This window comes from Homo sapiens, chromosome 2 (assembly GCF_000001405.40).
Source record: "Homo sapiens chromosome 2, GRCh38.p14 Primary Assembly".
Taxonomy (NCBI): domain Eukaryota; kingdom Metazoa; phylum Chordata; class Mammalia; order Primates; family Hominidae; genus Homo; species Homo sapiens.
The window spans coordinates 43,905,148-43,932,883 of record NC_000002.12 but is presented as its reverse complement, the minus strand read 5'-3'; the positions used below and the strand labels follow the sequence as shown (position 1 = coordinate 43,932,883).

General features: G+C 36.9%; 1 protein-coding gene across 5 annotated transcripts in view, besides 1 other annotated feature; it reads left to right on the top strand.

Annotated features, from left to right (window-relative positions):
- The window catches only part of LRPPRC (leucine rich pentatricopeptide repeat containing), a 110,042-nt gene that overhangs the window by 63,382 nt on the left and 18,924 nt on the right, over positions 1-27,736 (top strand). For 4 of the 5 annotated variants that reach the window (XR_007068563.1, XM_047442809.1, NM_133259.4 and 1 more), the window contains exons 26-31: positions 6,923-6,991; positions 7,727-7,817; positions 14,486-14,628; positions 14,751-14,859; positions 20,326-20,452; positions 27,104-27,192. Coding sequence is in view for 4 of the 5 variants with exons in the window: in XM_047442809.1 (XP_047298765.1) it covers positions 6,923-6,991; positions 7,727-7,817; positions 14,486-14,628; positions 14,751-14,859; positions 20,326-20,452; positions 27,104-27,192 (628 nt within the window). In the remaining variant the exon portion in view is untranslated. Of the gene's footprint in view, positions 1-6,922; positions 6,992-7,726; positions 7,818-14,485; positions 14,629-14,750; positions 14,860-20,323; positions 20,453-27,103; positions 27,193-27,736 lie in introns of those variants that run through there. The other variant, XM_006711916.4, reaches the window with a different exon arrangement.
- Positions 11,598-11,699: a silencer, noted in NCBI's record as "fragment chr2:44148324-44148425 (GRCh37/hg19 assembly coordinates)". NCBI's record gives its function as "represses an EF-1alpha promoter that drives an FKBP-Casp9 reporter gene in an ReSE screen in phorbol 12-myristate 13-acetate-treated (for megakaryocytic differentiation) K562 erythroleukemia cells {active_cell/tissue: K562(+PMA)}" and the evidence as "EXISTENCE:reporter gene assay evidence [ECO:0000049][PMID:32094911]".

Here is a 27,736-nt window from a genome sequence, read left to right as displayed (position 1 = left end):
GTAGTAAGGTGTAATAGAGCCAGAGGCAGAAGAGTGATTTCTTGTTTTGCCATCTACCTGCTTATGTGATAATGGACAAGTTATTAAACCTTTCTAAGCTTCCTCATGTATAAAAGAGAACATAATATCTGTCTTTAAGATTCAATCACATAATGTATGTAAAGCAGCTTGCATGTTTCCTGGATTATGGTAAGTGATCAATAATATTAATTCCCTTTGCCCCTTAAAGGTAGGGATTGTGTTGTCTTCTTTACCTCACATAATTCAAAATATGATGTTCAGCATAAGGTACATGTTTGCCACATGAATAGGCAAGAGAAGACTGCCTCTTAATTACTTAGAGCTTTGCCACAGTACAACCACATTTAGGAATGGCTGTCTGCTGATGACAGAATTTTCGTAGTAGGTGTGTACAAAATTTTTTAAAGGGTGAAGAATAGCTTTACAGAAAGAATACTACAAGTCATGAGCAACATTTTTATCATTCCCAAAAAAAGCAATAGTGTCTTATCATTGGGTAGATTCACTATGGTTGAATTTACAGAGCTGCTGTGTATTTGAAGCGTTGTGGAAATAATTAGATAAACCAGTCATAAGCTCATTAAATGAAGAAAGATATAGGCAAGGTTCAATGTGTAAATATCACCTGTTTTTTTGTTTGTTTGTTTTTAAGATGAATTGGCATACATGTATCATGTGTTATATGTAGTATATTTGACAGTCTCCAGTCTTTTTTTTTTTTTTTTTTTTTTTTTTTTTTGAGACAGGGTCTTGCTTTGTTAGCCAGGCTGTAGTACAGTGGTGGCTTAGCTTACTGCAGCCTTGATCTCCTGGGCACAAGCAATCCTCAGAAAGACCTAGTCTGAAAAAAGTCCTTTCTACAACACTTCATCTTATAGCAATTACTACATTCTGTAGATTCTCTTTTTAAAGGTCTATCTCTTTGACTAGAATGAAGGGAAGGGAGAAAGACTGAGAAGGAAAGGAAGGAGGGAAGGGGAAACTGGTCCAACTGGGAAGCCATGCAAATGCTATCAATCACCTTTGCTAAAGAGCTTCATTCTGGAGGTTTCAGATGAAGAAATCTGCCAATGCCACCTTTAAGGGTTCATGACAGGAGATTCTCTATCAGATCTAAGAGCTTCATTTATCTTGTACCTATGTTAATTCACCCTATTTTCTGTTAACTCAGGTCTCTCTCCGTCATTTACATAGCATTTGAGATGACTGAGTAAAGTGTCATAAAAATCCACCACCATTACCTTAATTTTGAGTGTAGCAGTGTTTAGGGTGAGAATTAAAAGATGAATTGTGCGTCTGCACTTAGAGTAGAGACAAAAGCATTCCAGGCAGAAGGAACTGCCTGTGTGAGGGCCCTGAGGCAGCAAAGAGGTTCCTCCCTTTATCGTTCTTCTGCCTCTCAGAACTCTTATTAGATAACACTAATAAAATGACATCTGGATTGTCTGGTACATTATCAGACATTTAATAAATGCTAGTTTGATTCCCTTCCTTCTCTATGCCATTCTTTACTGTGTAGAGGTCAACCCTTCTGTCTCTTCTGCAGATACATCCTCTGTAGGCTGTCTTAAGAACTCTTGGGAATCAAACCCAAGGGAAGAGGTTAGAATACGAAATGCTAAGTTTAAAGCAGAACTTTTTTCTCATCTTTGTGTTGGTTCTGAGAACCTAGCAGTGCCTGGCACATGACAGGCATTTAGTAAGTGATTGCAGAACTACTCAAAGGGCTAAGAGTTAAATTAAATAATATATTTCTTGATAGAAACCTTTAATATGGTAACATTTCATACATCATTTAACTTTTTTGCTTGTATATATAATCTTTCCCTGGATTTAATGTCTGGTCTTGGAAAAAAAAGAATGAGTAACCCAAAAAGTGATACTTTATTTGTATGGTCTGCAACACTGTCTTCCTGGGAGGTAAATGAAGTACCTGAAAAGGTCATAGACTAAAAGAAGGAAGTCATTTTTCTGTTTGTTTGTTTACAGAGAAATACCTTCTTTTACCATAATTTCTAGCAATAGGAGTATTGGACTAGAACTCACGAACCCTGAGTTTTAGTTCTGGCTCTGCTACCAGGAACCATAAAGGAGGTCCCATCCTTAAAGACATAACAACATTACTGTCTTTGTGTATCAGGGGCTTTCAAAATGGTAATGACATTTGACCCACTTTTGAGAAATGATCCTAAGTAAATCATCTGAAAACCAAAGTAGGTAAAGATGTAAATTATGATTATTACCTGTAACAGTGAAAGTTTTTCTCAAAGGAGAAAGGGCGCAAATGAACTCCAGTTTGTTTATGAAATGGAATGATGTGGCCATTAAAAATAATGCTTACAAGATTTTGGATTTTCGAATTTGGGATGTTCAACCAGTAAATAATACAGATATTCCAAAAGTCAGAAAAATCTGAAATCTGGAACGCTTCTGGTCCCAAGCGTTTTGGATAAGGGATACTCAACGTATAGTAGTTACGGAATTTGAAACCAGGCCCTGAGTTTCTGTTTTCTATTGGTTCCTCTGTACCATCCTACGTCCATGATCTCATGACCCCTCAATATCTGAACTGTCGAAAATAACTTACCCTTTCTCCGGAATTCCTCTTTCTTGACTTTTCCCTCTCTCCCTATCTGCTGTTTTGCCTTTCCATCACGGTGCAGCCGGAGTACATTTTGATCTCTTCTCAGTGGGGGAAAAACTCTCTTTTGATGGCTTTTGATTTAAGACCAAAAGCTTGGATTCCAGTGATCTCCCAGTCTTTGTTACTCTTCCTTTTGTTCTTTTCCAGATCTGATTCAGGAATTTTTATCCCATTTGCCTTCCTTAATAAGCCAGCGTGGATCGTATACACAGACAGTGGATTTTAGAGCTAGGGTTTGTTTGTTTGTTTGTTTGTTTGTTTGTTTGTTTTTGTTTTGTCCTCCAAAATTTCAGGATATGTCAGTTCTCATGTAAATATATACCCCCTTTTGTGAGTTAGTTTAGTATCTCCTATAACACCTGGTCAAGTGGATAATTTTTTAGTTCATGATAGTTTGTTAATTGGACTTGCTCAGCCATATTTTCCTCCTTATTATACATGGTCTTCAAGTCTATCTTGGAAAATTTTAGAGAAAAGGACAAATGCTAAAAGACTTAATAGTACCATGAGACCTTTTTTGCTCCCTTGTTCTGTGCTAGCTATGGGGATAAATATAGTTGATCCTTGAACAACATAGGTTTGGATTGTGTAGGTCCACTTACATGTAGGTTTTTCTTCAGTAAATATACTGGAAAAGTTTTTGGAGATTTGAAAAAACTCACAGATGAACTGCATAGCCTAGAAATACTGAAAAAAATTAAGAAAAAGGTATGTCATGAATGCTTAAAATATAGGCAGATTCTAGTCTATCTTATTTGCTACCATAAAACGTATACAAATCTATTATTAAAAGTTAACATTTATCAAAACTTACACACACATAGACTATACATGCTGCCATTCACAGCTGAGAGAAATGTAAACAGAAGTAACGAAGTACTAGTCATACGAAGTAACGAAGTACATAAAATTCCCTACAGTACTTATTGTATTACTGTAATTATTTTGAATAACACCATGACATCCATACACAGTATCACTAGTGATGCTGGAAGTGCTTCTAAGAAGTAAAGTTGTGACATTTCAAGAAAAGGATGAATTGCTTGTTATGTACTGTAGATTGAGGTCTGCAGTTCTGGTTGCCTGCCATTTCAGATAGAAATTCATCTTGTAAAAAGATGTCATAAACTTACGGTATCAAAAAATGCAGTACTGTAAATGTATTTTCTCTTTCTTACAATTTCCTTAACATTTTCTTGTTGTAGCTTACTTTATTATAATGATATAGTATTAAATACATGTAACATACAGAATATGTGTTAATCGACTATTTGCTATTGCTAAGACTTCCAGTCAACAGTAGGCTATTAGTAGTTCAGTCTTTGGGAAATTAAAAGTTATATGTGGATTTTTGACTGCACAGATGGTCAAACTCTAACCCCTGTATTGTTCAAGGGTCAGTTGTACTTGGACGGTACTTGGGTTGGGGTGGGGATGTTGTTTTCTTTTTTTTTTAAGAGATGGGGTCACACTGTGTTGCCCAGACTGGAGTGCATTGGCTGTTCACAGGTGCAATCATAACACACCGCAGCCTTGAACTCCTGGCCTCAAGCAGTTCTCCTATTTCAGTCTCCCGAGTAGCTGGGACTACAGGTGCATACCACCTTCTCCAGCATTCTTGTCTTTGTCTGTCCCTTCTTTAAAGCCCTTGTGCACATGATTTTTCCTCCTACTATGTTAACTAGGGGACATGAGGCTAGGGCGGGCGGTTTTTGTTGTTGCTTTCATTTGACATCTCCAGCAGAAGTGGCAAGAAAAATCAGAACAGGTGAAAATTTCTATTTGAGTTAAATTCAGGATAATCTTCCTTGAGACAGAGTTTGAAATGCAGTAGAAAAACTTTCATTTCTTTTTACCTAACAGGTAATAATTATTGGATATCTATTTTTACTAGTATACATAGAAGCTTATGATAAGCTTTTTATGGTAAATTTACATCAGAGTGTTGTAATGAAATTAAAGTAATGACAGTTATTTTTGACTTTGGATTACTTTTTTTTCCCCTATACAAGTAAACCTAGTAGTGAATTGCAACTGCAGAAAGTTGTGGTTTGAAGCACAGTAGCTCAGGTGGAAACAAACATGCAATTGTTTCTATAAAAATACTTACTGTATCCTCACTGTTCATTAGATAGATTGTATGTGGCAACACAGAAAGAACTAAATATGAGTTTAATTAACATTAACTGTTTTTTCATGTTATATTTAACATCCCAATTAGAATTCTATTCTTCTCCATGTTTTTATTACATTTTCTATTTCTGCTTTCAACTTGCAGTTTTTAAAATTCAATAAGATGTTAAGAGATAAGCCAGAAATCTTGACATTACAGCAGCCTAGGAGATTTAGTTAATCTGACCTAGATGTTCTTTTGATGATTGAGATTTATATATGAAAACAGTTCTCAATTTCAAAATGAAACATGGGAAGATCTGCCATATAAATCAGCTGTCCTGCCAAAGACAGGCAGATTAATCAGCCACAAACAGAAAGAGTATGTCATAAAAGTTGTGCTGTTTAGATTGTTGGCATTTGGATCAGCAGTAATATTGAAAGTTGTAAGTGACCGTAGCCCTTGCATTTTGCCGTGTTCTGAAGAGGATTATTTCATAGTTTTTCAAGGGCTTTTAGTATATATTGACATTGGTTTCATTTTCAGTATTATGCGTGTGAAACAAAACAAATAACGTAAGAAAAATCCTTGAGAAGAAATTGTGCCTGAGTGTAGATATTAATAGTATTTGAGACTGTATTTCAATGACTAATTTATTCATCATTGATTTCTTGTATCCCAAAAAGTGGATGATATAGGAAATGAGAACAAGCTATCCAACTTCTAGTCTACCAATTTTTCTGTCATCCCACCAAAGCTGCAAGATGTTAGTTTCCACTTCAGTTCTTAATTTAACGTTGTACAATGTTATTTTTTAAAATTAAAAATAATGAGGACTTAAGAGATTAGATTCAAGGGATACCTGGTTTGATCAACAGAAGTGAGCGGAGAAAGCAGTAAAGATACCTCCTCTAGACTGGAGCAGCCAGGGCTAATGAGTATGTAGTTTTCTTACCATAATGCTGTGATTGAAATGTAGTATTTAATGGTGAAGCCCTCTTGCAGATGATGAAAATACTATAGAGTGACAAATCCTTGGAATTATGTTGAAATGGTTTGTCTTTTATTCCAGTATCCAAAATTGTAAACTAAGTGCTTTGAAGCCAGACTTATTGACCAAACGATAGTAATTTCTAATTGAGGATATAACATATGTCTCAGTTGTTTAATTGAACTGAGACTATAAACCAATTTTAAAGTACTTAGCTTGTTTTGTTCTTTAAACATTTAGTTTTAGGTGCTAGGCAAAAGTCATTAGAGTACTTTTATCACTGTGAAGTTCGCAAAGCATTTTCTTTTAAAAACGAAAGCCAATGGTTTATTATTGTGACAACTGTTACTTTGTGTAACATTGATAATTTTTGTCTCCTGAGTCTATTGGAATAAAGTGTATGTGTGTGTGTTCAAGAGAGAGCGTGTAAATGAGAAAGAGCACGTGCAGTCAGGTGTGGTGGCCCATGCCTGTAATCCCAGCACTTTGGGACGCTGAGGTGGGCAGATCACTTGAGGCTAGGAGTTCGAGACCAGCCTGGCCAACATGGTGCAACCCGTCTCTACTAAAAATACAAAAATTAGCCAGGTGTGGTGGCACACACCTGTAATCCTAACTACTTGGGAGGCTGAGGCAGGAGAATTACTTGAACCCATGAGGCGGAGGTTGCAGTGAGCCAAGATCATGCCATTGAGACTCTGTCTAAAAAAAAATAAATTAAAAATAAGAGCACATGCATGTGAATGTTGACACACACTTTTTATTTGACGTTTTCTAGTTTATCGCTTATTTTTGAACTAAAGACAGTATAACCATTTTATTAATTAAAGATTTATGGAATGAACTTTGACGTGCAGTGCAGCATTTGGAAATTATCGGCGTCTTCTAGGCAGAGGTTAAGCATAGTTTGTGTTTTATGCTCTCTTCTACTCTTACTTAAAGGTCTTTGATAACTATGGGGTTAATTATAGTTTGTATTAGTTATAGTATAAATTTAGTATATAGATTGTATACTAGTATATATAGTTTAGTATATAAGTTTAGTATATATATTTGGCAGCAAATTCATAAGAAAAGAAACTGTCTTTGAGGAAAAAAATAATATTCAGCCGAAGCCTTACCTTGGGTGCTATGTGATTATTTTATTTTACAGACTCCAGGGATTAGAGCTCGATCTGCAAGGCTTCAGTGGTTTTGTGACAGATGTGTTGCAAATAATCAGGTTTGTATTTGATTCAGATGTCTCAATCACCTAAAAGTGTGAGTAGAAGGCAAGGGTCCTCTGTATCACATGAAGATTTGGGGACTTCGAGAGACAGGGCATTGTGGAAGCAGTGTTTATCTCGATCATTTGCCAGATAAGCAATGGCTTATTTCTTATTCCTGAGGTGCAGTAGAAACCCTAAACTGTTAACCTGGGCCCTGATGATATTATCTTTAACTAGTTGGTTGGAGCAGGCTGACCTAATGTCCTTGGCACTTCAAGCCTGCATTAGTCCTTAGTGGAAGAAGGAGTTGCTTCCCAGAGCTCTGGAATTTCTGCTTGCCCTCCTCTGGTGCAGGTACCTGTTTGCACCATGCCAAGTAAAAGCCACAGGGCAAGAAGAGTGTAAAGTTTGGAGGGGGAAGTATTTTTGTTAACGTACGATACACTCATTGAGTTCTCCCACCCAGATACCTTTGAATTAGTTATTCATGTTGTGTTCTTGACTCCAAATTTTTTTAAAATTGTGGTAAAATAAGTATAATGTAAGATTTATGATTTAACCTTGTATAAGTATACAGTTCAGTGGCATTAAGTTCATTCATATTGTTGTGCTCAGCCCATTAACTTTTGAAATGAAGTTCAACTGCCCTTTTGGTAAAGCTAATTTGAAAGATTATTCCACTGCTATTTGTTAACTGTAAAATACATCCTTTACACAAGGTAGATCTATCTCTTAATCTTACTTTTAAGGTTGAAACTCTGGAAAAATTAGTGGAGCTGACACAGAAGCTATTTGAATGTGATAGAGACCAGATGTACTACAATCTGCTAAAACTGTATAGTAAGTGATTTAACTATTCTTCACGCTTTCATTTATTCTGTTGAAGGCAGTGGCAGGAAAGGAGTATTTGGTTTTGAGGGAGCTCCAGGGATTGTCAGAAGGCAGTTTTCATTCAACAGAGGCTCAGGTAGAGGCTAGATTGAATTTTATCACAGAATGTTATATCGTAGCACTAGACACTGTATGTCTTCATAATTTCTGACATTCTTACTGCAATAATGAGAAAGTACGAAAACCTTCATCAGAACCACAGAATTTAATAGGACTTTTTGAGGTAAGAACGGTCTTTCTGTTCTTTTTATTTAAACCTTCAGGTAAATTTATTGGTGACTTTTATAAATAGGTAACCACCAACACATTCATGTAAGTAGAGATTTTTTTCTTTTTGCAAAAAGATGCTTATCTTGCATATCTATATACAAACTCATTGTTAAACAGCTTTTTAAATGTCATTATATATTTTTGAGTCAGCTATATATTACAAACATTTTTCTATATTTAATCACCTACAAATAACTTATATACTACATAGATATACTAAAATTTATTCAGCCTATCATCTCCTATTACTGGGTTTGTGAATAGATTTCCATTTTCCATTTCTAAAACAACACTACGTTATTCATTTTTGTGCCTTAATCTTCATTCACATCCTTAACTGTTTTTTGAGGCTGAAATCTTAGTATTTGTATTTGACATTTCTGAAACTTTCGATCTCTCTTTTCAAACAATGCTCTAGTACTTTTATACTAGTGTACACATTTGGAGCTTTACAGTTTCTTTTAGGATATTTCGGTAGAGAGGAATAACACTTAGAACAGCCAGTGACCTTTCCCTATTTGTTTCATGGATGTTTATCTAGATTTATTGTTCTTCTTTTCTCTTGGCAAATTTCCCTTCACCAAACGAATAAGGGGATTTATTTGTCTTTTCAAACTTGTATTTATTACCATTGAAAGCTTTATTTTACATCTCGATGATGTAAATAAAATTAAACTTGCTTAAAATTTTACATTCCAGTTTTTGGTTGTATTGAAATACATACTTCACAGTGTAATTCTTAAGACTTTGGCTTGAACGATGATCAAATTCTTGCACACAATGCTGAGTTTGGTATTGAATGTATAGAATTAAAAACCTGTATTTTAGGCAGTTGGTCCTCAAATTGCAAATTATAATCTGTGTTTGAGCACTAACATTCCACTCTACCTACTTTTTCTTCCTTTTAAAAACAATTTCATGATGAAATTCTAATGTGCCAAGTTCAAAAGAAGCACTGACTATATGTCTAAATATGTCTTATTATTTCAAGTAGTCCTCATGGAAGACTATATAAACTTGGATTCAGAAAAAAAAAAAAAAAACTATGAAGCCCTTACTGTGTGCTAGACATTGTGGTAGGCACTGCAGATGTAAAGGTAGTGCTCTGCTGAAAGGGTCAGCCCCATCACCAAGTCTTAACACTGCAGCGGGTAAGAACAACTGTAAGTATGTGGTAGTCTAAGGCCAGGTGAGAGGTGGCCAGCCACACAAACTTACTCTTCCTATTCAGAAGAACTTTTACTATTAGTTTTGCTTTGTTTTTGAGACAGGGTCACCCAGGCTAGAGTACAGTGGTGCGATCAGAGCTCACTGCAGCCTCAACCTCCTGGGCTCAAGAAATCCTCCCACCTCAGCCTCTCAAGTAGTTGGGAGTACAGGCATGTGCCACCACACCTTGCTAATAATTTTTTTTTTCTTTTTAACTTTTTGTGGAGACGGGGTCCCACTATGTTGCCCAGGATGGTCTTGAACTCCTGAGCTCAAGCAGTCTTCCTGCCGCAGCCTTCCACAGTGCTGGGATTACAGGCATGAGCCACTGTGCCTGGCCTTTTTTTTTTTTTTTTTTTAAAGAAACAAAAAAATATACAACATTTAGCTTCATCTTAAAATTTCCATTAGGGATATATGGTCTCTGAGTTTAATACTATTTTCTTGTCCTTAATTTCCTCTATGTGTCCTATTGGACACCTGTCTCCAATTCCTTCTTGCGTTGTATTTGAGTCAATAGTTTGAGGAGGTTGGCAGAGTGTGGTTAGCTTCTTAGGAGGCTGGAAGCCAGTGGAATCCTATAGAGAAGTATATATTCTTTTTAACCACATTTGTATACTTCCTACCTTCTGCCGTGTTATAAATGGATAATCTGGTTATGATAGCCCTAATCCTTTCCTTTCTGAAGAAAAAGCAAGCTATCCCCTTCTGCATTTTGCCTTCAGACTTGGGCCACTATTTAAATATTGTTACATGGACTCAGTTGCTTTGAAATGGAACATAAGATATGAATTGGGTCTTGCTGTGTTGCCCAGGCTGGAGTGAGTGGTGCTCACTGCAAGCTCCGCCTCCCGGGTTCACGCCATTCTCTTGCCTCAGCCTTCCCAGTAGCTGGGACTACAGGCGCCCGCCACCACACCTGGCTAATTTTTTGTATTTTTAGTAGAGACAGGTTTTCACTGTGTTAGCCAGGATGGTCTCGAACTCCTGACCTTGTGATCCACCCGCCTTGGCCTCATTATGCTTTTTAAAAATCCATATTTTGCATTGTGGATTTCTTTCTTAGGATGTGATTTTAGCCCTTGAAAGAGATTGGATTAGTAGTTATTTTTGGATATTTGTTGAAAAGCAACTTTCCTTCGTTTATTTTAAAACGGTTCCTTTCACATACTTAATACACACTTAATTTTGTTGTAAATCATAACATAATACAGAAACATGCACAAAACAAAGATATGTAGCTCAGCCAACACCCATGGAACTGTGTAAGTCTTACATACATTTAAATACTAGCTTTTATTAATATAAAACTGCTTTCATTTTCTATGGACTCAATATAACATGATCTGTTACAAAATTTTGTCCTAATTCAAACTTCATTTCTATCCTTCCCAATATATTGTGACCTTTCATTGTGACAGTGTTGCAAAATTAGCTTCTAGAACCTATAACAAACATTAATTACATGAATGAAATGACTTCCTCACTTGCTTAAGGAATTTTCTATTATTTCTATATGACAAACATTTTCTTATGTTCTGAACACTTCTTTACAGATAGAAAGTAGAAATTAGTTTCTTTGTATAGTAGTCTATCCAAGAGTCAAACTGCCTTACATTTGTAATTTTGCAATACAATTCTTTGAATCTATTTAAAAAGTATGTATAACCTCAGCATTTATTCCGTCTCAGTAATGATTCATATATTATTTCTTCAAGTATGTATAGCCATTTACATTTCTTTTCATATTGTATGGCTTTTTCCTCCTCCATTATTACACAAGTGAAATGGACATATTCTGATTACTAAAGATTCAAACAATGTAATACTATACTAGCTAACTATGAAAATGTCATTGTGTCCACCACCACCCCCTAACCGCTTATCTCAGACGTAACTTTGTGAATTGGCCATCCTTTCCATGTCTTCTCTGTACATTGCCCTCTCTCTACCTTTATATCCATGTATTTTTTATGTATGTACCTATTATTTTGATTCTTTTATATCCTGTTTTGATTGTTTTATACTTTACTTGTTTCACATTCTACATTTCTACATTGTGGCTTCTTTTTGTTTTACTTAACAATATGAAATAAATTCACAAGAAAAATACTTGCTTTTTCTCCCTTTTAATACGAATCTTAACTGCTGGTATCCTTAAAACCTCTGAAGTTGATGAATGACTTTTTTAAAAAATGAATTTATGGGTTCTTAACATGTATTTGTGTTTTATTTTAGTCCTTATTTGTTTTAGTGTTCACATCTCGCCCAGGCTGGAGTGCAGTGGCCCGATCTCAGCTCACTGTAACCTCCACCTCCCAAGTTCAAGCGATTCTCCTGCCTCAGCCACCCCAGTAGTTGGGATTATAGGCATGCACCACCACACCTGGCTAATTTTTGTATTTTTAGTAGAGATGGGGTTTCACCATGTTGTCCAGGCTGGTCTCGAACTCCTGGCCTCAACTAATCTGCCTACCTCGTCTTCCCAAAGTGCTGGGATTACAGACACGAGCCACTGCACCTGCCCACAAGTCTTATTTTAATAGGTGCATCTCTGTAATATCCTTGTCTTCCCAAAGTAGAAGCTTTTTGTATAATTTGTGCTTTTTTTAAACAAAGAAAATTATGTTCCCAGAATTCTTGCAGCCTAAAGGCACGGAGTTGTAGATTATCCACCCACCTTTTTATTGTTTAGAATAACTAATCCCTTTTTAAAGGTCCTTAGCAGTATTGTGTCTAGCTGTTGGAAACCTTCCCTGTCTTCCCACAGTCCACAAGGACCTTTTGGCAGTCAACAGAAGTGCTCCACTGCAGAATAAAGATTCAGAGGCTTGGATTTTTTTTTTTTTTTTAAATCAAATAAGTTTTATACTTTCACATACTTGAAATACTTGAATTTTATATTACACAATAACATTTTAATGAAGAAAAAGCGTAATTAGTTAATGAGAGTCTTGTTTTGAAAATTGGTTGTAAATGTAAGGCTTTTATATTAGTTGGGCTAATTTTATCAGTATATGTATAAAATCACTCTGCACTTTAGGTTAATTTCTGCCATCTGGGCCTCCTTGCGATGTAGTCTGTATGAAAGTTTAGGCTGCAGCTGGGCAAGGTGGCTCACACCTATAATCCCAGCACTTTGGGAGGCCAAGGCCAGTGAATTGCTTGAGGTCAGGGGTTCAAGACCAGCCTGGCCAACATGGTGAAACCCTGTCTCTACTAAAAATACAAAAATTAGTGGGGTGTGCTGGCGCGCACCTGTAATCTCAGCTACTCGGGAGTCTGAGGCAGGAGAATTGCTTGAACCCTGGAGGCGGAGGTTACACTGAACTGAGATCGGGCCACTGCACTCCAGCCTGGGCAACAGAGCAAGACTCCATCTCAAAAAAAATATATAGGCTGCAATCTGTGTGACCCAGGGGAATTTCTCTAAGTTTTTTTTTTTTTTTTTTTTTTTAAATTGCTGATTTCCCATGAAGAATGAGTATGCTTTGTTTTTTGTTCTTTGAATTTTTTACTTTTAGGAGTCATTAGTTATCAAAAAACTTAACTTTTTGGTTTTGGGGAGAATAATCTAGGAAAATCCTACGTGTTTTTAGTATTTTTCCTCTAAAATGCTGAGGAACAAATGTATTCATGTTGTCTGGAACATTTGTGCTGTAAAACAAACCCCTCCTTCCTAGAGCTGGATGCCACACAATCCAGATATTTCTTATACATACTAGCAAATTAAAAAAAGACATCTAAAGCAGTTTTTCTGTGCATTTAATAATTGTATTACACTTAGTGTCATGTGACATTTTTCATATCTTGCCCCAGTTTTTCACAAGCAGAAACTAATTTATTATATTAAATGACTTGATGTTTCCTCTTCCAACCATGAGAATTTCTAAAAACAAAGTTTTGATTCTGGAGTTTTTGCTATTTGTAAAGACTAGATTACCACATGAAAGGAAATGGGCTTTTCAATATGAAGGGATCTGCCTATTTCCTTCCCAGCCCTTGTAATAGTCTGATAACATTATCAGTTGAGATAAGAAATCTAAGAAGATTCCATGTATCACACAGGGTCATAGAAACTCTTCATGTCAACACAAGAAACATAGACAATTCTCTATTCAACTAAGTGAAAAGGTTTGTAGATTTGTCACTTGTAAAGAGAATTACACACTTGCAATCATTTTAGTACACACCACAGCTGTGTACTATACGGCAGCAGCCCCCAACCTTTTTGGTACCAGGGACTGGTTTCATGGAAGACAATTTTTCCACAGACCAGGTTGTGGTGGGGGATGGGGATGGTTTGGGGATGAAACTGTTCCACCTCACATCATCAGGCATTAGTTAGATTCTCATAAGGAGTTCACAACGTAGATCCCTCACATGCGCAGTTCACAATAGAGTTGGCACTCCTATGAGAATCTAATGCTGCCGCTGATCTGACAGGAGGTGGAGCTCAGCGGGTAATGCTCACTTGCCCACCCACCGTACACATTCTGCTGTGCAGCCCGGTTCCTAACAGACCACGGACCAGTACCTGTAGCCTTTGCAAAGATCATAGATATATGTATACCGTATGCACTGCATACAATCACAGATATATGTATATTGCATACGGTACACGTATGTATGTATGTATATGGTGGCATATGCCATATATCTATCTATCTATATCTATATATATATCTCTATATATAGAGATATCTATATATAGATATATATATATCTATATATATATATATATCTATATATATATATATTTCCAGGATCTTTGCAACGCTAAAGGTCATAGTTGAATTGTCACCTGTTTCTGATTTTGATTTCGGCAGTAGGCACTTTCTCAGTAACATTAAAAAGACAAACTTCTTATCAACATGATTGGAAGTGTGTAATAAAGTGTGATGGGGGCTTCTTGTTATTGCTTTTTAATAGGTAGGGTATTTTTGGTTTGTAATTCAGAAGTACAGAGAAAAGTTCCCTTCTCGACTTCGGGTCACGGTCACTTTTGGTTCCTTTCCCTAAAGGCAGCATTTGGAATAATGCTTTCTTCAACATCAAATAAGAAAAAGTTCTAAATATTTTTGTGTATTCTGTTTAGCATATTTATTGATTAATTTCTGCTTAATCAAATTCTACAGAAATAAACGGTGACTGGCAAAGAGCTGATGCAGTCTGGAATAAAATCCAAGAAGAAAATGTTATTCCTCGTGAAAAGACATTAAGATTATTAGCAGAAATCCTTAGAGAGGGTAACCAGGAAGTTCCGTTTGACGTACCTGAGGTAATTGTTTTTGGCATAATCGTAACAGATTTTGTTGTCAGTATAATTAGGTTATAGATTAGCCTACTTTTATATTGAAAAGATTACCAGTTTTTATTTAACAGAATAACTTTGTTTTAAAGTTGTGGTATGAAGATGAAAAACATTCCCTGAATTCTTCGTCAGCCTCAACCACAGAACCTGATTTCCAGAAAGATATATTGATTGCCTGCCGATTGAACCAAAAAAAAGGCAAGCACATACGGGGATGGGGGTGTGTGTGGGGGGGTGGTCTTCTTTCTAATAGCAGTGTGGGGTGTAAGCCCAACCAATTAGAAGTGCTCTAGGATAGAGATAGGACTTAAATTTTACATATTTCTTGTCCCCTTCCATACTTTAACGAAAACATTTTGGGGCAATTGGGAAAATTTAACTATTGACTGAGTGGTAGATAATATTAAGGAATTACTCTTTTTATTATTTTTTTTGAGATGAAGTCTCACTCTGTCGCCCAGGCTGGAGTGTAGTAGCGTGATCTCAGCTCACTGCAAGCTCCGCCTTCTGGGTTCACGCCATTTTCCTGCCTCAGACTCCTGAGTAGCTGGGACTACAGGTGTCCGCCCCCACGCCTGGCTAATTTTTTATATTTGTAGTAGAGATGGGGCTTCACTGTGTTAGCCAGGATGGTTTCGATCTCCTGACCTCGTGATCTGCCCACCTCGGCCTCCCAAAGTGCTGGGATTATAGGCATCAGCCACCATGCCTGGCCGGAATTACTCTTATTTTTATTAGATGTGATAATGGTATTATGATTTACTTATAGGGAAATGTTCTGAAATTTTGAGATCCACATGAGTTATTGAGGGATGAAAAAAGTCAAAATTTCTATAATGTATTTAAAAATGCTTAAGCTATAAAAAACGAAGCAGGCCGGGCATTGTGGCTCACACCTGTAATCCCAGCACTTTGGGAGGCTTCAGCCTCCCAAAGCTGGCAGATCACGAAGTCAAGAGATGGAGACCATCCTGGCCAACATGGTGAAACTCCATCTCTACTAGAAATACCAAAATTAGCCGGGCATGTTGGTGCATGCCTGTCATCGCAGCTACTCGGGAGGATGAGGCCGGAGAATCACCGGAACCGGGGAGATGGAGGTTGTAGTGAGCCGAGATCGCACCACTGCACTCCAGACTAGCGACAGAGTAAGACTCCGTCTCAAAAAAAAAAAAAAAAAGCAAATCTAGTAAGATGTTAATTGTTAGATATAAGTGATGGGTATATGGAAGGTGAGGTTCATTATACTATTCTTTTTTTTTTTTTTTTTTTCCCCCCGGAGACAGGTCTCACTCTGTCACCCAGACTGGAGTGCAGTGGCGCAATCATGGTTCATTGCAGCCCCCGCCTCGTGGGCTTAAGCAGTTATCCTACCTCAGTTTCCCAAGTAGCTGGGACCATAGGCACACACCACCACACTCAGCCAATTTTTGTAGTGACAAGGTCTCGCTATGTTGCCCGGGCTGGTCTTAAACTCCTGAGCTCAAGTGGTCCTCCCACCTCGGCCTCACGAAGTGTTGGGATTGCTGGTATGAGCCACCACCCCCAACCTGTACTATTCTTCATACTTTGCTGTACATATGAAATTTTTCGTAATAAATGCTATTGTTGGCATACATTTTTATTAAAAGTATTTTTTGAAAATAACTTTTTGTGGCACATATTATAACTTACTTGAAAGCAAAAAATGATTAAGGCATTAATTACTATACTAGTATGTGTTGAAGTGATCCAGCAATATCTCAAGGTTAGAGGTCTGTTTCTTGACTCTTTCCCTTTCTCTAGTATTAAACTTTCCTGAAGACATCTTCACCTTTATTATGCCTACTTTAAATTTTTTATGACCGTCTTTAACCCTCTGTTATGAGCTTGTAAGTTGAATTTTATGTTTTTACTTAGACTTCTTATACTGTTCCAGAATCATATATTACTCTTATTTTCTTTACTTTTGTTAATTTCTTTTCATTCTAGCTTTCCATAGAATGATTCCTTCAGTTTTGGGGTGGATTTCAAGGATGGTTCATGATAGTTTACCATTAAGGAAATAAACACAAGAGAATTTTTTTATTTTAGTATTGATAGTTTTGAGGTTTATTGGAAAGGAATCAATTTAGAAATTTATAGAACTTCTTAATTTCCTAACTTAACTAGAAGGTTTGGCCAGGCTTGCAGGCTCATGCCTATAATCCCAACAACTTGGGAGGCCAAGGTGGGCAGATCACTTGAGTCCAGGAGTTTGAGACCTGCCTGGCAACTTAGTGGTATCCCATCTGTTCAGAAAATACACAAATTAGCCTGGCTTGGTGGCACAGGACTATAGTCCCAGCTACTCAGGAGGTTGAGGTGAGAGGATCAGCTGAGCCGGAGGTTGAAGCTGCATTGAGCCATGATCGCACCTGGGTGATTGAGTGAGACCCTATCTCAAAAAAAGAAAGAAAGAAATTTTGTGGCATTGATGTAAAATGTATGAAGTAAAAATAAGTTCTTATGCCTCCTCAGTTACCTATAGTATAACTTTTTATTCATTCTGAGTCATTTTCTTTTGAGAAGGAGTCTTGCTCTGTCACCCAGGGTGGAGAGCAGTGGTGCATTCTCACTGCAACCTCCACTTCCCAGGTTCAAGTGATGCTCCTGTCTCAGCCTCTCAAGTAGCTGGGACTACAGGCGCACACCACCACGCCCGGCTAGTTTTTGTATTTTTAGTAGAGACAGGGTTTCCCCATATTGGCCAGGCTGATCTCAAATTCCTGACTTCGTGATCTGCCCGCCTTGGCCTCCCGAAGTTGCTGGGATTACAGGCGTGAGCCACCATGCCCGGCCCATTCTGAGGCATTTTCCTTTGCTGCATATTCAGTCTATATATCTTTGAGTACACACTATGCATCTTTGAAAGCGAAGTATAAAATTAAGCTTGATTAATACTATGTAAATGTTCTGATGAACTTGTGTGTGTGTGTGTGTGTGTGTGTGTGTGTGTGTGTGTGTGTGTGAGAGAGAGAGAGAGAGAGAGAGAGAGAGAGAGAGTCTTGTTCTGTTGCCCAGGCCGGAGTGCAGTGGCGCAACCTCTGCCTTCTGGACTCAAGTGATTCTCCTGCCTCCCAAGTAGCTGGGATTATAGGCACCCACCACCATGCCTGACTAATTTTTTTTTTTTTTTTTTTTTTTTTTTGTATTTTTAGTAGAGACAGGGTTTCACCATGTTGGCCAGGCTGGTGTCAAACTCCTGACCTCAAGTGATCGCCCACCTGAGCCTCCCAAAGTGCTGGGATTATAGGCATGAGCCACCACCACGCCCGTCCTCTGGTGAAGCTTTGATTTAGCTAAATGACTAAAATGAATATATGGTTAGTGTACAGTTTAAGTGAAAACATTTAAGTAGTTAAATAATTAAATACAATGCAGTGTGTATTATAAATGTGGAGCTACCTCTATTCTGGAATTTTCATTTATCTAATTGGTTTCATCCTGTTAATTCTTTTCTTTTCTTTTTTTTTGAGGCAGAATGTTGCTCTATCACCCAGGATGGAGTGCGGTGGCGCAAATCTTAGCTCACTGCAGCCTCTGCCTCCTGGGTTCAAGCGATTCTCCAGCCTCAGCCTCCCAAGTAGCTGGGATTACAGGCACCCCCCACCACCCCTAGCTAATTTTTGTATTTTTGGTATAGACCGCGTTTCACTACGTTGTCTAGGCTGGTGTCGAACTCCCAACCTCAAGTGATCCTCCTACTTTGGCCTCCCAAAGTGCTGGGATTACAGGCATGAGCCACTGTGCCTGGCCATAACTCTTCAGAGTTTCCTGTTTCTTTTTTTGTATATCTCAGGATTCGAATGTTTAGTAAAATATGAATGCTTTGAAAATTGAATGCTTACATTAACATTTTTCTGGTAGTTCAGTCTACTTAAAGGTATATCGTGATTGTCACATTGGAAACAAACGTGCGGTGAATGGGTTTGGTATATTAAAATGCTAATTAAAAAAAAAACTAACAGGGACTAATTACACAGCCACACCAAGTTAATGTGAAGGCCACAGTTTTAGAAAACAACAAGAGTTTCCAAACAAGTGAAATACTATATACGATTGTTAGGAAGTTGACAATAATTGCATTACATCTTAAGTTTTTAGCCCCCTAAAAAGCATTGGGTATTGAATGGCAGATTTTATTGCAGTCATCTTATTGTGTGTCATGGTTTAAATATTTTATTTAGCAAGCCATTCTGTGACTTTAATAAGTAAATAAAAGTCTTAAATTTGTGATGCATTGATACTGGTACTCAAATGAAAATATGTCTTTATTTTCTCCCGTTTCAGAAAAGTGAAATACACCGAATAGACTAGGTATCTGATGGAATAATCAGTAAATGATAGTGGAGTTTCTTCTTGCATATTAGCGTGTTTTTATTTTCCGTTTTTTGCCAGTGTCCTGGAATATACAGTTGTTCACAACCATAGAAATCTAGTGTAAAGCACTTGGAAATTTAATGACTAACAGGGACTGTTCTATGGAAGACTGACTTGAAATGTGATAAATCTCTGCCATTGTTACTTTCACTTGCCCAAACTGTTCTCCTTAAGATGCAAATATAAATGTTGCCGTATATTTTTTTCTCCAAATTTAGCTTAAAGGGATAAATATTTCTTTGACAGTGCCACTTAAGTTTAATTAAGGGACTAATGCACACATTCCCTAACTCATACATAGAAGCGTAACAATTTTCGCCTGTTCAGAAACTTCTAAAGTAGCTTAAAATGTTCTTCTGAACATTAAATAATATCATGTTCTGTCTTAATTAGAAGTTTTATATTTCCTTACATTGAGCCCTATATTCGTAGAAGGCCGTACGTGATAGTTCATTTATGCCCCATCTTTATTGTGATTTGTTTATCCACAGAAGGGAGTAGATTGTAGTTTCAGTTGGCTGTTTATAGCCAGGCAGTTTTATTTCAGAAAAGTATAAGTGACTGAAAAGTGTAGTTACTTCTCTTTTGGTAACATCTTTTCATTCACTGACAGTTATTGTGAACAAGTGAAATAAAACTGTTAATCAGTCAAACAAATGTTGCTTAGTTTACTTGTTAGATATCTGTATATTTGAAAATTGTATGTTTTTGTATAAGTCCTGTCGTAGCCAAATAATGTGATCTCCTAATTTTAGAATTATAGGCTATATTCTCTTTAGTGCTATTGTGCTGAAATGTTAACCATTGTAACCACCCACTTATAGATTAAAGATTGCTTTAAAATGAATCTTTTGCTCCCCTCAATCTAAATTATACCTCTGGTTTATTTGGACTTTAACACACATTTTGCGATTTATTTTGAAACTAGTATCGTCTTTTCATAAATTCAGAAGAGCTGTTTCTCATTTTTATTACAAAGAAAATAATGTATCAACTTAAGAAAGCTGGTATGAGAAATCATTTTAAGAGGAAACCCCTTCAGGCACCATCCATTCAGATTAAGGTGTAGTTTCCAAACCTGTAGCTTTGTCTTTAAAATATTTGAAGAATTATGTCAGTGTGTCTCTCTATAGAGTGGTAACAGTGGGTTGGTATTAAAAAGCAAAAATATTTGGGTTTAGGTCTTTGTTTCAGGATTTTTTCCATCCTTTTGGCATTTCAGAATAATGTCATCTCATTTTTTTTGTCTGTTTTCTCTCATAGGGGCATATGATATTTTCCTGAATGCAAAAGAGCAAAACATTGTGTTTAATGCTGAAACCTACAGCAATCTCATTAAATTACTGATGTCAGAAGATTATTTTACACAAGCAATGGAAGTGAAAGCATTGTAAGTGTTAGTCCATTTATTAAACCTCTTGTTTAAAAAAGAATATTGGCTGCCATTAGCCAATAATTATAATAGTAATGTGCTGTGTAGTAAAATTGCTTGATTGGCCTCAGCTACCCATAAAAATCATATGAAATGGTTAACTAACTTTATCAGGTTTTTTCACCTTCAAAAAAAAACACCTTTACTGGCCATATACAGTGCAGTACATTTTGCTTACTAAGTTATATTCCATCACAATTCATTTAAGATATCCATGCACAGAAAAGTAATTTTATTATATTCTGTTCCTTGTTCAACATCTAAATCCATGTACCTTTTGTGGTGGGAGCAGCCTGAGAAAACAAAGACACCATGGACTTTGAACTTAGACCAAGATTTGAATCTTACTTAAAAGTTCTGTGACCTTGGGAAAATTACCTGCTATCTCTGATCCTTAGTTCTTCTTCCGTATGATGAGTGTATGATAATATTACTTAATATTAAAGATTTCTTCTATGTGTTGAAGAAGGTAGAGTGAAGTAGAGAAAACATAGGTACTGAACACATCTTATTTGTGTTTCCCCCTCCTTTCGTGTTGTTTTTGGATTAAAAAAAAGAAATCTGACTGGGCGCGGTGGCTCATGCCCGTAATCCCACAAGTTTGGGAGGCTGAGGTGGGTGGATCACCTGAGGTCAGGAGTTCAAGACCAGCCTGGCCAACATGGTGAAACCCTGTCTCTACTAAAAATACAAACATTAGCTGGGCGTGGTGGCATGTGCCTGTAATCCCAGCTACTCAAAAGGCTGAGGCAGGAGTATCACTTGAACCCAGGAGGTGGAGGTTGCGTTGAGCTGAGATTGCGCAACTGCACTCCAGCCTGGGTGACAAAGCGAGACCCTGTCTCAAAAAAAAAAAAAAAAAAAAAGAAGAAGAAGAAGAAGAAAAGAAAAGGAATAATCTGAAAAAAATTTTAAGTCCGCAGCACTTTTAGAATATTAGAATCCTAAGCAGAAAATGGATGCCTGCCATCCTTTCACATCACAAGAAAACCTGGCAGTGTCCTAGTGTTGCTAAAGTTATGCATCATAGGGCCGTATTTAGTGTCTGTGTTTTAATGTTGAAAAACATGTTCTGTATGACTGTACTTGTCTGTGTGTATATGTGTGTTGTCTTGAATCATCATTTGTATGTCTTGATACAAGAGTCGCACTAGGACTGTTGGGTTTTTAATGTACTCTGTGTGTCATTTGTGTGTTTTCTCAATTCCTAATCAAATTTTATATATATATATATATATATCTAGAACACTCGATATACCCTTAATTAGTGACTTGGAAAATTTGACAGTGAGCAGTATCCTGTCATCTGTAACCACTAGGTCAAGGGTGTGGATCATCTAAAATTACTTTTCTCAGAAAATTATGAAACTCTCCATCCCAACCCTCTCTGTGATAATGAAGGAGAGCCAGAAAAAAGAGAAGCATTTTGTGTTGAGAATTAAGTATGATTAAGTGATGAGATAGAAGCAAAGACAGAAAACTTAAAAAAAATTAGATTTTGAGTTTGGTCACAAAGACCTCTGAAATGCTTCCTGAAAGTACAGATTTTAATTTTATTTATTTATTTATTTTTTCATTTTCATTGGGTTTCTTCTAGAACAGTGATACTTACTCTGGTAGCATAAGAAGATTCCTCTCAGCTCACCACAAAGATTCTGATTCAGCCAATTTGGTGTGGGGCCTGAGAATGTACATTTTACTCCATAGCCCAAGTGATTGAAGAATCATGTCTTAAGCATTCTGATCGCATGTGATTAATAACAAATTGTACTTGATGTATCACATGTAACTATATTATAAAACATACTCAAAATAGAAAATCTTCATAAGGTGAAATTTTTAAAAAGAGATTTAAGCCCAGGCACGTTGGCTCATGCCTGTAATCCCAACACTTTCGGAGGCCAAGGCGGAAGGATCCCTTGAGGTCAGGAGTTCGAGACCAGCCTGGCCAACATGGTGAAACCCCATCTCTACTAAAAATATAAAAATTAGCCGTGTGTGGTGGCAGGCGCCTGTAATCCCAGCCACTCAGGAGGCTGAGGCAGGAGAATCGCTTGAACCTGGGTGGCAGAGGTTGCAGTGAGCCCAAGATCGCGCCACTGCATTCCAGCCTGTGTGACAGAGCAAGACTCTGTCTCAAAAAAAAAAAAGGGAGAGAGATGTAAAGGTTTCCTTGCCTTACCCTGGAGTGTTCATGCAGTGTGCATGCTGCTCATTGAAGACCACTGGTCTAGAGTAGTTTCAAAACTGCAATTGCAGCCAATTAGTGGGTCATGACATCTATTAAGTGGGACAGAACCAACATTGTTTCAATGAAATAGTATAGACTATTTCAAAGTATTTCCTGTAGTAAAGATATTATTTCATGAAAAGTTGCTTTCAGTTATGCGTGTGTGTATGTATCTGTGGATTGGGTTGTCTATGTAAAACATCATTTCTTACTATAATCCTCCCATGGATCTTGATCTACCAAGGTTGAAACTGCTGACCTGGAAGATAGTTGTAAGCATGACCGTCTATTTGCCTTAAATTTACAACCTGTGAAACATAGGTTTATCTTCTTCCCTTCTTCTCTAGATCTTTATGAAGCCTTCCTGAGATAAAATTGACATGTAAAAAGATACATATTTAATGTATCTATCTCAGTGAGTTTGGGGATAAGTATACACCCTTGGAACCATTGCCTACTTCAAGGCCACAAACATATCCTTCCCCTTCCAGAGTTTTTTCCCACCCTCAATATTATTATTATTATTATTATTATTATTATTATTATTAATTGGGTTTTTTTGTGTGAGAGAGAACACTTATGATCTATCCTCTTAGCAATTTTCAGTATAAATACAGTATTGTTAGCTGTTAGCACTATGCTGTATAGAGCTCCAGAACTTACTTATGTTCCATAACTGAAACTCTGTACTTTAACCATTATCTCCTCATTTCCCCTCCTCCCAGTCTTTGGTGTCTACCATCATACTCTGCTTCTGAGTTTGACATACAAGTGAGACTTTTCTTTTAGCTGTGTTATCCACCAGGGTTATTTGGGAGTTGCCTTCCTCCGTGCGTCTGTGTCTACCCAAGAGAACCCAAGATCCAAAGCCTGAAGTCAATCTGGGCTTTGGATGCATGTCCTCTCCCTTGAACCAATAAAATGTTATATCTAACTATGTAGAATTGTTTCATGGGTTAAATTGTTGAGTACTTTTAAAAATAATGCTGGACTGAAAATTCAGAAGTGAAAGTTCAAGTTACGAATTATCCAACTAACTATGTTACTTGAGATATTTCAAGAGATATTTTGTGGGTTCGGTTCCTGTTTATTGCCAACTAGGTCCTCTCTTCCCATTTCCCATTCTGTATCAGTGATCAGAGTGAAAAACAACTGCTGCTTTTTTATAGGCAACTTTATTATAATATGGTGGTCAAATGAGCTACTGTAGCAAGTGGCGGTACCGCCCTAGTATTATTCTGGCAGTCTTACTCTGGATCCATAAATAGCTGTTTTTACAGTTTCCTATATAAGGTCACTTGGTCAACCTTGAGAGCCATAGTTTTGGCCGAGCATGGTGGCTCAGTGGTTCGTGGCTGTAATCCCAGCACTTTGGGAGACAGAGGCAGGTGGATCACTTGCAGTCAGGAGTTCAAGACCAGCCTGGCCAACTTGGTGAAACCCTGTCTCTACTAAAAATACGAAAAATTAGTCAGGCGTGGTGGTGCGTGCCTGTATGTAATTCCAGTTACTCAGGAGGCCAAGGCAGGAGAACGGCTTGAACCCGGGAGGCGGAGGTTGCAGTGAGCCAAGATTGCGCCACTGCACTCCAGCCTGAGTGACAGAGTGAGAAAAAAAAAAGGCCATAGTTTTCCTATGAATTAAAAAAAATATCATTTTTATTTTGCCTTTGTTGTCATCTAATGTGTTACAGATACACTTGACCTCTAATAAGATTTCTTCAATTTTATTTACAAAGTCATTTAACCTTCCCAATAAGCCATGGAACCTCTAAAGTAATAGTAACTTTTAAAAATGTTCAATAAGCCATCTTTCTTTCATTTTTAGTTTCTTCATGTTTCAAAATAATTTATCTGTAGTGAATTCTTTCAAGGGAGGGAAACCACTGATTCAAAGAGCAGTAAGGGATATAAACTCTTTTTTTAAATCTCTGCTAACATTAAACCATATTCTTAGGGAATTTAGGAATCATGTAACAACAACCCTACTTTATCTTTTGAGAGTAGCACTTGATTTTCTGTCGTTCCTCTTGGCTTCCTGTATCATTCTGTTCGGAAATAATGCTATATCTGTCACTGATGATTTTTGTTGAATTGGCCTGTTTTTGTTATCCTAAATAATATAATCACCAACTAATGTCCTTTCTGCATATTATGTAAGCACAGTCATTGCTTACATGAAAGCTCACTTCTCATGCCTATATTTTTACATGTATTATACCATATTTACTTAAAAGTGTTACCTAAAATCCATTAATCCATTAAAACCATAAGGCAACAAAACTTCTCCTAAATTTGAAAGGCTGTCATTTCAGAGCAATAAATTCTCTGAAATGTCCAATGTGAAAGTTTCCCTATAATACTGTCTTCTTTGGTTAAGATAGTTTAATTTTTGCAGTTGGTCGTAAATTGAAAGAGGGTACTCTTTTTCCCCTATAATTTTTTTCCCTTCATTTTGACAGTTCTAAAAATAAAATGTCTAGAATTCTCTGCTATCCAGTTCAGTAACCACTAGTCATATGTGACTGCTTAAATTTAAATTAGTTAAAATAAAATATAATTAAGATTTCTGTTTCTTCATCAGAGTAGCCATGTGGCTAGTGGCTAACCCTATTGGACAGCCAATAGGGTTATTGGATGATTGGATGATATTCCCATCATCACAGGAAGTTTGATTTGAGAGCTCTGGACTCGATTTTTTCCAGAAGGAAAGATCAAAATTAGGTGTGAAAAGTTAATGTCTTTTATTATATTGTATAAATGATTCCAATATAAAGATCTCTACCCGCAACTTTTTAAAATTTTTTCCTTTTGCCACTTTGGAATCTGTTTTGGTTGTAATTGGTCAGTTTCTACATATGTAGGATATATTATTATAGAATAGATCTGGGGTTTCTTCTTCCTGATATTTATCTCCACTTTCATATTTGTAATGAGCAGGCAGCTTGAGAGAGGAAGAGATTATTGAAAAAGAATGTTACAGGCTTTGAGGTTTTTGAAAGGTTTGTAGTTCATACTTAGTGTCAAAGACAAGTTTTGTTGCCTTGTGGTTTTAATGAATTGTAGGTGAATATTTTTAAATTAATATGGTATAATACATGTAATAATATTAGAAGTGAGCTTTTAATAGTGTCTCATTTTTATTTAATCATGTGAAAGATTGAGAAAGTAAATCCTTTGTGCAATTCTTAGTCTCATGCATGAGTTGTTGACTTAAGTTGTTGACAGATGGGACAAAGGGAGAAAAGTCAAACTGAGCAATGGGTACTTTGGTGGGATAAAGAGGATTGGTCGGAGGAATAAGAAAATCCTGTGTCCAGGGACTGCAGGGGTGGACCTTAGAGGCTGAAAGTGACTGAGAGAATGGGCATGTCGTAGTGTCTCTGGGGGATTTTCTTGGGATTGATGAAAATAATTTAGCAGTGACCCCACTTTTGTTGCAATCTGCCCAGCTTATATGTCCGTGTTGGCAGGGCATGCTGTTGTTGGCAACAGGGTCATCACTGAGCTCGATAAGGCAAATGGGAGCAATTGCTTTTGCTCCTTTTGACCTGTTTAGATTTTCTAATCCGGAGATGAACTCTGGGAGCATTAAGGATGCAGAAATTTCATCACAGGAGATGCGCAAACAGTGTAGCAAACAGAAATCTCCAGCTAGGTTTTGGGGTTTTCTGTTTGTTTTTGTTGTTTCATTTTGCTTTTTTTAAATCCTGTAGGTTTTATTGAAAAGTCAAGTGATTTTTTGCTCTTGAGTTTTAAAAGTTGGTGTTTTGTTTCAAACTTAAGCTAGGGCAAGATGGTTGTGTGAAATTTTTAATTTTAAAGTACCAATAGTTTGAGTTCTGCAGTATGTTCAGCTTCAGAAACTGTATGAATCTAGATGGCAGAAATTTGAAAATTAATTGACCAAATGATAGAGTGTTAGTAATCTGCTTTAGTTTTTATTTAAAATGTACAGTGCTGAAAATAAATCCTCATTTTAGTTTCTGGAAGAAGATTTTTACATTTTATAATTACTGTGAATGTAGAAAAAAAAAAGTATCCAGCTTAGGATATGGCAGAACAATGCGGGGCACGCAGTTATTTTAGTCATCTAATATGTCAGCATTCAAGAATCTGAACCGATTGTTTAAAAAAAATCTTGTACTTTGTTTCTTTTGTTGCTCATTTCCAACTTTGTCATCTGTCAGAATGCAAAAAAAAATTATCCTTCTATAACCATTGACAGGATAACACAAAAGCTGTCTCCAGGTCGATATTTTGCAGCAATATTTTTAACATACGAACAGTAGTTTTTATAATTTCACCTTGGTGCTCAACCATTTATTATCGTATCAGAAGCATGTCAGTAATTCCTTTCTAAATGTCTGCTTCTTTTAGCGCGGAGACCCACATCAAGGGCTTCACACTGAACGATGCTGCCAACAGCCGCCTCATCATAACGCAAGTTAGGCGGGATTATTTGAAAGGTATGTCACAATGCTTGACCTTTACGTCACATTAATGCCTCTGCAGATTTTTCTTGTAACGCCCTTCGAATACTTGGATAAAGGAGTCCATTTAGCAAATTACCTGCTTATCAAGAGCCTTTTGTGGTAGCTGAGAGACATAAATTACTGTACATGCATTTATAATACAGCTTGAATATGAATGTACTTGTCATTTGACCACTTAGTCCAGTTTCCATTCCATTTAACACAAGATGGGTTTTCTTAAGATGAATCACAGCTCTTCAGACATGCAAAATTTGTGTTCCAGAACGAGAGAAAGTACAGGCTTTCAAGTGCGTTAAAATTCACAGCACAAGTCATTTTGCTTTGGAAATTAACATACTTTAGAGCATCTGAAACAATTCCCAGCAGTTGTTTCTTGCATATTGTGTTGGTTGTGTGTGAGATACCAAATCAGTTAAATTGAGTGTTAAATGTGTGGGATTGTGCACCAAATGATTATAATATTGATTTTTAAAACTTAATCTAATACTTTTTTAATAGTTCATAATACCAACAGCAA